Below are 11,392 nucleotides of genomic sequence, written 5' to 3' on the forward strand. Positions count from 1 at the left end.
TGAGCATGCGACAGCCTGGAGCAGCACCCACACCTGCAGGCGAGCATCTGACAACCTGGAGCAGCACCCACACCCCCATGTGAGCATCTGATGGTCTGGAGCAGCACCCAAAACCACAGGTGAGCATCGGAGAGTCTGGAACAGAACCCACACCCCCAGGTGAGCATCTGACAGACTGGAACAGCACCCACATGCCCAGGTGAGACCCTGACAGCCTGGAACAGCACCCTGCACCCCCAGGTGCGCACGTGACAGCCTGGAACAGCACCGACACCCCCAGGTGAGCATCTGACGGCCTGCAACAGCACCCACATCCCCAGGTGAGCATTGGACAGCCTGGAGCAGCACCCACATTCCCAGGCAAGCATCTGAACGCAAATAGCAGCACCCACACCCCCAGGCGAGCATCCGACAGCCTGGAGCAGCACCCACACCCCCAGGTGTGCATGTGATGGTCTGGAGCAGCCCCCACACCCAGAGGTGAGCATCCGACAGCCAGGAGCAGCAACCTGCACACCCAGGTGAGCATCTGACAGTCTGGAACACCACGCACAACCCCAGGTGAGCATCTGACAGACTGGAACAGCTCCCACACCCCCAGGCGAGCATCTGACAGCATGTATCAGCACCCACACCCCCAGGTGAGCATCTGACAGCCTGGAACAGCACCCACACCCCCAGGTGAACATCCGACAGCCTGGAGCAGAACCCACACCCCCAGGCGAGCATCTGACAGCCTGGGTCGGCACCCACAACCCCAGGCGAGCATCTGACGGCCTGGAACAGCACACACACCGCCAGGTGAGCATTGGACACCCTGGAGCAGCACCCACATCCCCAGGCGAGCATCCGACAGCCTGGAGCAGCACCCACACCCTCAGGTGAGCATCTGACAGCCTGGAGCAGCAGGCACACCCCCAGTGAGCATCTGACAGCCTGGAGCAGCGCCCACACACCGAGGTGAGCATCTGACAGCCTGGAGCAGCGTCCACACCCCCAGGTGAGCATCTGGCAGCCTGGAGCAGCACCCACACCCCCAGGTGAGCATCTGACTGCCTGGAGCAGCACCCACACCCCCAGGTGAGCATCTGACAGCCTGGAACAGCAGCCTGCACCCCCAGGTGTGCACGTGACAGCTTGGATCAGCACCCACACCCCCAGGCGAGCATCGGACGGCCTGGAACAGCACCCACACCCCCATGTGAGCATCTGACTGCCTGGAACAGCACCCACACCCCCAGGTGAGCATCTGACATCGTGGAGCAGCACCCCACACCCACAGGTGAGCTTCTGACAGCCTGGAGCAGCACCCACACCCCAGGTGAGCATCTGAGAGCCTGGAACAGCACCCTGCACCCCCAGGTGAGCATCCCACAGCCTGGAGCAGCACACACACCCACAAGCGAGCATCTGACAGCCTGGAACGGCACCCACACCCCTAGGTGAGCATCTGATGGTCTGGAGCATCACCCACAACCACAGGTGAGCATCGGAGAGTCTGGAGCAGCGCCCACACTGCAGGGCGAGCATCTGACAGCCTGGAGCAGTGCCCACACCCCCAGGTGAGCATCTGACACCATGGAGCAGCACCCACAGACCAAGGTGAGCATCTGACAACCTGGAGCAGCACCCACACTCCCAGGCGAGTATCTGTACGCACAGAGCAGCACCCACAACCCCAGGCGAGCATCCGACAGCCTGGAGCAGCACCCACACCCTCAGGTGAGCATCTGACAGCCTGGAGCAGAACCCACACCCCCAGGCGAGCATCTGACAGCCTGGGTCCGCACCCACACCCCCAGGTGCGCATCTGATGGTCTGGAGCAGAACCCACACCCACAGGTGAGCATCTGACAGCCTGGAACAGAACCCACACCCCCAGGTGAGCATCTGACAGACTGGAACTGCACCCCCATGCCCAGGTGAGCCTCTGACAGCCTGGAACAGCACGCACACCCCCAGGTGAGCATGTGACAGCCGGGAACAGCACCCACACCCACAGGCGAGCATCTGACTGCATGTATCAGCACCCACACCCCCAGGTGAGCATCTGACAGCCTGGAACAGCACCCTGCACCCCCAAGTGAGCATCCGACAGCCTGGAGAAGCACCCACACCCCCAGGCGAGCATCTGACAGCCTGGAACGGCACCCACACCCCCAGGTGAGCATCTGATGGTCTGGAGCAGCACGCATAACCACAGGTGAACATCGGAGAGTCTGGAGCAGCGCCCACACCCCCAGGCGAGCATCTGACAGCCTGGAGCAGTGCCCACACCCCCAGGTGAGCATCTGACAGCGTGGAGGAGCACCCACACCCCCAGGCAAGCATCTGAACGCAAGGAGCAGCACCCACACCTCCAGGCGAGCATCCGACAGCCTGGAGCAGCACCCACACCCCCAGGTGCGCATGTGATGGTCTGGAGCAGCACCCACACCCACAGGTGAGCATCTGACAGCCTGGAACAGAACCCACACCCCCAGGTGAGCATCTGACAGACTGGAACAGCACCCACATGCCCAGCTGAGCCTGTGACAGCCTCGAACAGCACCCTGCACCCCCAGGGGAGCATCTGACAGCCTGGAACAGCACGCACACACCCAGGTGAGCATCTGACCGCCTGGAACAGCACCCACACCCCCAGGCGAGCATCTCACAGCACGTAACAGCACCCACACACCCAGGTGAGCATCTGACAGCCTGGAACAGCACCCTGCACCCCCAGGTGCGCACGTGACAGCCTGGAACAGCACACACACCCCCAGGCGAGCATCTGACGGCCTGGAACGGCACCCACACCCCCAGGTGAGCATGTGACAGCCTGGATCAGCACCCACACCCCCAGGCGAGCATCTGACAGCCTGGAGCAGCACCCCACACCCCCAGGTGAGCATCGGACAGCCTGGAGCAGCACCCACACCCCCTGATGAGCATCTGACAGCCTGGAACAGCACCCACACTCCCAGACGAGCATCGGACAGCCTGGAGCAGCACCCACACTGCCAGGCGAGCATCCGCCAGCCTGGAAAAGCACCCACACCCCCAGGTGAGCATTCGACAGCCTGGAGCAGCACCCACAACCCCAGGCGTGCATCCGACAGCCTGGAGCAGGACCCACACCCCCAGGTGAACATCCGACATCGTGGAGTAGCACCCCACACCCACAGGTGAGCATCTGACAGCCTGGAACAGTACCCACACCCACAGGCGAGCATCTGAAACCACGGAGCAGCACCCACACCTCCCGGCGAGCATCTGACGGCCTGGAACAGCACACACACCGCCAGGTGACCATTGGACACCCTGGAGCAGCACCCACAACCACAGGTGAGCATCTGACATCGTGGAGCAGCACCCCAAACCCACAGGTGAGCATCCGACAGCCTGGAGCAGCACCCACACACCCAGGCGAGCATCTGACAGCCTGGAACGACACCCACACCCCCAGGTGAGCATCTGATGGTCTGGAGCAGCACCCACAACCACAGGTGAGCATCCGACAGCCTGGAACAGCACCCACACACTCACGCGAGCACCTGACATCCTTGAGCAGCACCCACACCCCCAGGTGAGCATCTGACAGCCTGGAGCAGCACCCTGCACCCCCAGGTGAGGATCTGACAGCCTGGAACAGCACCCTGCACCCCCAGGTGAGCATCTGACACACTGAAACAGCACACACACCCCCAGGCGAGCATCTGACAACCTGGAACAGCACCCATACGCCAAGATGAGCATCTGACAGCGTGGAACAGCACCCTGCACCCCCAGGAGAGCATCTGACAGCATGGAACAGCACCCATACGCCCAGATGAGCATCTGACAGCCTGGAATAGGTCCCTGCACCCCCAGGTGCGCACCTGACAGCCTGCAACAGCACCCACACACCCAGGCGAGCATCTGATGGCCTGGAACTGCACCCAGACGCCCAGGTGAGCATCCGACATCCTGAAACAGCTCCCACACCCCCAGGTGAGCATCCGACAGCCTGGAGCAGCACCCATACCCCCAGGTGAGCATCTGATCGCATGGAATGGCATCCTCACCTCCAGGTGAGCATCCGACAGCCTGGAGTAGCACCCACACCCCCAGGTGAGCATCTGACAGCCTGGAAGAGCAACCACACCCCCAGGCGAGTATCTGACAGCCTGGAACAGCATCCTGCACCCCAGGGTGAGGATCAGACAGCCTGGAGCAGCACCCACACTCCAGGTGAGCATCTGACAGCCTGAAGCAGCACCCACACCAACAGGTGAGCATCTGACCGCCTGGAACAGCACCCACACCCCCAGGTGAGCATCTGACAGCCTGGAACAGCACCCACACCCCCAGGTGAGCAGCTGAAATCCTGGAACAGCACCCACACCCCCAGGTGAGCATCTGACAGGCTGGAGCAGCACGCACACCCCCAGTTGAGCATCTGACAGCCTGGAACAGCATCCACACCCCCAGGTGAACATCCGACAGCCTGGAGCAGAACCCACACCCCGAGGCGAGCATCTGACAGCCTGGGTCGGCACCCACACCTCCAGGTGAGCATCTGATGGTCTGGAGCAGTACCCACACCCACAGTTGAGCATCTGATAGCCTGGAACAGAACCCACACCCCCAGGTGAGCATCTGACAGACTGGAACAGCACCCACACGCCCAGGTGAGCCTCTGACAGCCTGGAACAGCACGCGCACCCCCAGGTGAGCATCTGACAGCCTGGAACAGGACCCACACCCCCAGGCGAGCATCTGACTGCATGTAACAGCACCCACACCCCCAGGTAAGCATCTGACAGCCTGGAACAGCACCCTGCACCCCCAGGTGTGCACGTGACAGCCTGGAACAACACCCACACCCCCAGGAGAGCATCTGACTGCATGTAACAGCACCCACACCCCCAGGTAAGCATCTGACAGCCTGGAACAGCACCCTGCACCCCCAGGTGTGCACGTGACAGCCTGGAACAGCACCCACACCCCCAGGCGAGGATCGGACAGCCTGGAGCAGCACCCTACACCCCCAGGGGAGCATCCGACAGCCTGGAGCAGCACCCACACCCCCAGGTGAGCATGTGACAGCCTGGATCTGCACCCACACTCCCAGGCGAGCATCTGACAGCCTGGAGCAGCACCCCACACCCCCAGGTGAGCATCGGACAGCCTGGATCAGCACCCACACCCCCAGGTGAGCATCTGACAGCCTGGAACAGCACCCACACTCCCAGACGAGCATAGGACAGCCTGGAGCAGCACCCACATCGCCAGGCGAGCATCCGCCAGCCTGGAACAGCACCCACACCCCCAGGTGAGCATCCGACAGCCTGGAGCAGGACCCACACCCCTAGGTGAACATCCGACATCGTGGAGCAGCACCCCACACCCATAGGTGAGCATCTGACAGCCTGTAACAGTACCCACACCCACAGGCGAGCATCTGAACCCACGGAGCAGCACCCACACCTTCCGGCGAGCATCCGACAGCCTGGAGCAGCACCCACACCCCCAGATGCGCATCTGATGGTCTGGAGCAGCACCCACAACCACAGGTGAGCCTCTGACAGCCTGGAACAGCACCCTGCACCCCCAGGAGAGCATCTGACAGCCTGGAACAGCGCGCACACCCCCAGGTGAGGATCTGACCGCCTGGAACAGCACCCACACCCCCAGGCGAGCATCTGACAGCATGTAACAGCACCCACACCCCCAGGTGAGCATCTGACAGCCTGGAACAGCACCCTGCACCCCCAGGTGCGCACGTGACAGCGTGGAACAGCACCCACACACCCAGGTGAGCATCTGACATCCTGGAGCAGCACCCACATCCCCAGGTGAGCATCTGACAGCCTGGAACAGCACCCTGCACCCCCAGGTGAGCAAGTGACACCCTGGAACAGCACACACACCCCCAGGCGAGCATCTGACACCCTGGAACAGCACACACACCCCCAGGCGAGCATCTGACAACCTGGAACAGCACCCATACGCCCAGATGAGCATCTGACAGCGTGGAACAGCACCCTGCACCCCAAGGAGAGCATCTGACAGCCTGGAACAGCACCCATACGCCCAGATGAGCATCTGACAGCCTGGAACAGCTCCCTGCACCCCCAGGTGCGCACATGACAGCCTGGAACAGCACCCACACACCCAGGCGAGCATCTGATGGCCTGGAACCGCACCCACACCCCCAGGTGAGCATCCGACATCCTGAAACAGCTCCCACAACCCCAGGTGAGCATCCGACAGCCTGGAGCAGCACCCATACCCCCAGGTGAGCATCTGACCGCATGGAATGGCATCCTCACCTCCAGGTGAGCATCCGACAGCCTGGAGCAGCACCCACACCCCCAGGTGAGCATCTGACAGCCTGGAAGAGCAACCACACCCCCAGGCGAGCATCTGACAGCCTGGAACAGCACCCTGCACCCCCGGGTGAGGATCAGACAGCCTGGAGCAGCACCCACACTCCAGGTGAGCATCTGACAGCCTGAAGCAGCACCCACACCAACAGGTGAGCATCTGACAACCTGGAACAGCACCCACACCCCCAGGTGAGCAGCTGACCGCCTGGAACATCACCCACACCCCCAGGTGAGCATCTTATATCCTGGAACAGCACCCACACCTCCAGGTTAGCCTCTGACGGGCTGGAGCAGCACGCACACCGCCAGTTGAGCATCTGACAGCCTGGAACAGCACCCACACCCCCAGGTGAACATCCGACAGCCTGGAGCAGAACCCACACCCCCAGGTGAGCATCTGACAGACTGGAACAGCACCCACACGCTCAGGTGAGCCTCTGACAGCCTAGAACAGCACCCACACCCCCAGGCGAGCATCTGACAGCATGTAACAGCACCCACACCCCCAGGTAAGCATCTGACAGCCTGAAACAGAACCCTGCACCCCCGGTGCGCACGTGACAGCCTGGAACAGCACCCACACCCCCAGGCGAGCATCTGACGTCCTGGAACAGCACCCACACCCACAGGCGAGCATCGGACAGCCTGGAGCAGCACCCCACACACCCAGGTGAGTATCCGACAGCCTGGAGCAGCACCCACACCCCCAGGTGGGCATGTGACAGCCTGGATCAGCACCCACACTCCCAGGCGAGCATCTGACAGCCTGAAGCAGCACCCCACACCCCCAGGTGAGCATCGGGCAGCCTGGAGCAGCACCCACACCCCCAGATGAGCATCTGACAGCCTGGAACAGCACCCACACTCCCAGACGAGCATCGGACAGCCTGGAACAGCACCCACACCGCCAGGCCAGCATCCGCCAGCCTGGAACAGCACCCACACCCCCAGGTGAGCATTCGACAGCCTGGAGCAGCACCAACAACCCCAGGCTTGCATCCGACAGCCTGGAGCAGGACCCACACCCCCAGGTGAACATCCGACATCGTGGAGCAGCACCCCACACCCACAGGTGAGCATCTCACAGCCTGCAACAGTACCCACACTCCCAGGCGAGCATCTGACATCCTGGAGCAGCACCCACACCCCCAGGTGAGCATCTGACAGCCTGGAGTAGTATCCTGCACCCTCAGGTGAGCATCTGACAGCCTGGAACATCACCCTGCCCCCCCAGGTGAGCATCTGACAGCCTGGAAAGGCACCCACACCACCAGGTGAGCATCTGATGGTCTGGAGAAGCACCCACAACCACAGGTGAGCATCGGAGAGTCCGGAGCAGCGCCCACACACCCAAGTGAGCATCTGACAGCCTGGAGCAGTGCCCACACCCCCAGGTTAGCATCTGATAGTGTGGAGCAGCACCCACAGCCCAAGGTGAGCATCTGACAACCTGGAGCAGCACCCACACCCCCAGGTGAGCATCTGACCGCCCGGAGCAGCACCCATACCCCAAGGCGAGCATCTGAAGTCATGGAGCAGCACCCACACCCCCAGGCGAGCATCTGACCGCATGGAGCAGCAGCCACAACTCCAGGCGAGCATCTGACAGCCTGGAACAGCACCGCACACCCGCAGGTGAGCATCTGACAGCCTGGAACAGCACCCCACACCCCAAGGTGAGTATCTGACAGCCTGGAACATCACCCCGCACCCACAGGCGAGCATCTGACAGCCTGGAGCAGCACCCACACACCCAGGCGAGAATCTGACAGCCTGGAACACCACCCACATCCCCAGGTGAGCATCTGACAGCCTGGAGCAGCACCCACACCCCCAGGTGAGCATCTGACAGCCTGGAGCAGCACCCACACACCCAGGTCAGCATCTGACAGCCTGGTGAAGCGCCCAAACCCCAAGGTGAGCATCTGACAGCCTGGAGCAGCGCCCACACCTCCAGGTGAGCATCTGACAGCCTGGAGCAGCACCCACACCCCCATTTGAGCATCCGACAGCCTGGAGCAGCACCCACACCCCAGGTGAGCATCGGACATCCTCGAGCATCACATACTCCCCCAGGTGAGCATCCGACAGCCTGGAGCAGCGCCCACACCCCTAGATGAGCATCTGACAGCCTGGAGCAGCACCCATACCCGCAGTTGAGCATCTGACAGCCTGGAGCAGCTCCCACACACCCAGGTAAGCATCTGACAGCCTGGAGAAATGCTCACACCCCAAGGTGAGCATCTGACAGCCTGGAGCAGCGTCCACACCCCCAGGTGAGCATCTGATAGCCTGGAGCAGCGCCCACACCCAGAGGTGAGCATATGACCACCTGGAGCAGCACCCACAGTCCCAGGTGAGCATCCGAGAGCCTGGAGCAGCATCCTCACCCCAGGTGAGCATCGGACATCCTGGAGCATCACATACTCCCCCAGGTGAGCATCCGACAGCCTGGAGCAGCGCCGACCCCCCCAGGGTGAGCATCTGACAGCCTGGAGCAGCACCCACACGCCCAGGCGAGGATGCGATAGCCTGGAGCAGCACCCACACCCCCAGGTGAGCATCCGACAGTCTGGGGCAGCACCCACTCCCGCAGGTGAGCATCCGACAGCCTGGAGCAGCGCCCACAACCCCAGGTGAGTATCTGACAGCCTGGAGCAGCACCCACACCCCTAGGCGAGCATCCGACAGCCTGGAGCAGCACCTACACCCCCAGGTGAGCATCCGACAGCCTGGAACAGAATTCTCAAACCCCAGGTGAGGATCTGACAACCTGGAACAGAACCCCACTCTTCCAGGTGAGAATCTGACAACATTAAAACAGCACCCTGCACCCCCAGGTGAGCATCTGACAGCCTGAAACAGCACCCTTCACCTTCAGGTGAGAATATGACAGCCTGAAACAGCACCCCACACCCCAGGCAAAAATCTGACAGCATGGAACAAGACCACTGCTCCCAGGTGAGCATTTGACAACCTGGGAAAGCACCCTCCACCCACACGTGAGCATCTGACAGCCTGGAAACACCCCACTGCTTCCAGATGAACATCTGATAGCCTGGAACAGAACCCCAGGCCTCCAAGTAAGCATCTGAAAGCACGGAACAGCACTCTCGACCCCAGGGGAGCGTCTGACAACCTAGAACAGCACCTTCACCCCGAGGTGGGCATCTGGCAGCATAAAACAGCACCCCTACTGGCAGATGAGCATATGACAGCCTGGAACAGCACCCACACCCCCAGGCGAGCATCTGACAGCCTGGAGCAGCACACACAACCTTAGGCGAGCATCTGACAGCCTGGAGCAGCGCCCACACCCCCAGGTGAGCATGTGACAGCCTGGAGCAGCGCCCACACCCCCGGGCGAGCATCTGACAGCCGGGAGCAGCACCCACACCCCCAGGTGAGCATCTGACAGCCTGGGGCGGCGCCCACAGCCCCAGGTGAGCATCTGACAGCCCGGAGCAGCGTCCACACCCCCAGGTGAGCATCTGGCAGCCTGGAGCAGCACCCACACCCCCAGGTGAGCATCTGACTGCCTGGAGCAGCACCCACACCCCCAGGTGAGCATCTGACAGCCTGGAGCAGCGCCCACACACCGAGGTGAGCATCTGACAGCCTGGAGCAGCGCCCACACCCCCAGGTGAGCATCTGACAGCGTGGAGCAGCGCCCACACCCCCAGGTGGGCATCTGACAGCCTGGAGCAGGCGCCCACAATCCCAGGTTAGCATCTGACAGCCTGGAGCAGCACCCACACCCCCAGTTGAGTAGCTGACATCCTGGAGCTGCACCCATACCCCCAGGTGAGATCTGACAGCCTGGGTCAGCACCCACACCCCCAGGTGAGCATCTGGCAACCTGGAACAGCATCTACAGCCCCAGGTGACCATCTGACAGCCTGAAGCAGCACCCACACCCCCAGGTGAGCATGTGACCACATGGAATGTCATCCTCACCTCCAGGTGAGCATCGGACAGCCTGGAACAGAATTCTCAAGCCCCAGGTGAGGATCTGACAACCTGGAACAGAACCCCACTCTTCCAGGTGAGAATCTGACAGCATAAAACAGCACCCTGCACCCCCAGGTGAGCATCTGACAGCCTGAAACAGCACCCTCCACCTTCAGGTGAGAATATGACAGCCTGAAACAGCACCCCGCACCCAGGCAAAAATCTGACAGCATGGAACAAGACTACTGCCCCCAGGTGGGCATTTGACAGCCTGGGAAAGCACCCTCTACCCACACGTGAGCATCTGACAGCCTGGAAACCCCCCCACTGCTTCCAGGTGAACATCTGATAGCCTGGAACAGAACCCCAGGCCTCCCAGTAAGCATCTGAAAGCAAGGAACAGCACTCTCACCCCCAGGGGAGCATCTGACAACCTAGAACAGCACCCTCACCCCGAGGTGGGCATCTGGCAGCATAAAACAGCACCCCTACTGGCAGATGAGCATATGACAGCCTGGAACAGCACCCACACCCGCTGGCGAGAATCTGACAGCCTGGAGCAACACCCACACCCCCAGGTGAGCATCTGACAGCCTGGAGCAGCGCCCACACCCCCAGGTGAGCATCTTACAGCCTGGAGCAGCGCCCACACCCCCAGGTGAGCATCTGACAGCCTGGAGCAGCACCCACACTCCCAGGTGAGTATCTGACAGCCTGGAGTAGCACCCACACCCCCAGGTGAGCATCTGACAGCCTGGAACAGCATCCACTCCCCCAGGTGAGCATCTGACCACATTGAATGGCATCCTCACCTCCAGGTGAGCATCTGACAGCCTGGAACCGCACCCACACCCCCAGGCGAGCATCTGACAGCCTGGAGCAGCACCCACACCCCCAGGTGAGCATCTGACAGCCTGGAGCAGCACCCACACCCCCAGGGGAGTATCTGACCGCATGGAATGTCATCCTCACTTCCAGGTGAGCATCCGACAGCCTGGAGCAGCACCCACACCCCCAGGTGAGCATCTGACCGCATGGAATGGCATCCTCACCTCCAGGTGAGCATCCGACAGCCTGGAACAGAATTC

The 11,392-nt window shown here is 62.0% G+C and overlaps 1 protein-coding gene and 1 long non-coding RNA gene across 3 annotated transcripts in view, besides 1 other annotated feature; one reads left to right on the forward strand and one right to left on the reverse strand.

Moving 5' to 3' along the window:
• The window catches only part of TTC34 (tetratricopeptide repeat domain 34), a 164,708-nt gene that overhangs the window by 54,404 nt on the left and 98,912 nt on the right, over positions 1-11,392 (reverse strand). The window lies entirely within an intron of this gene.
• Positions 6,100-6,601: an enhancer, noted in NCBI's record as "OCT4 hESC enhancer chr1:2628928-2629429 (GRCh37/hg19 assembly coordinates)". NCBI's record gives its function as "activates a minimal SCP1, AML or CMV promoter by ChIP-STARR-seq in naive H9 embryonic stem cells {active_cell/tissue: H9 hESC(naive)}" and the evidence as "EXISTENCE:reporter gene assay evidence [ECO:0000049][PMID:30033119]".
• LOC105378602 (uncharacterized) lies at positions 9,988-10,887 on the forward strand. Of its 2 annotated transcripts, none has more exons than XR_946871.2 (3): positions 9,988-10,398; positions 10,481-10,559; positions 10,642-10,887. It is a non-coding gene; the product is annotated as an uncharacterized LOC105378602 (long non-coding RNA). The 2 variants fall into 2 exon arrangements; XR_946870.2 differs by having other exon boundaries at positions 9,988-10,357; positions 10,440-10,559.

The sequence above is a fragment of the Homo sapiens genome, chromosome 1, assembly GCF_000001405.40.
Source record: "Homo sapiens chromosome 1, GRCh38.p14 Primary Assembly".
In the NCBI taxonomy this organism is placed as follows: domain Eukaryota; kingdom Metazoa; phylum Chordata; class Mammalia; order Primates; family Hominidae; genus Homo; species Homo sapiens.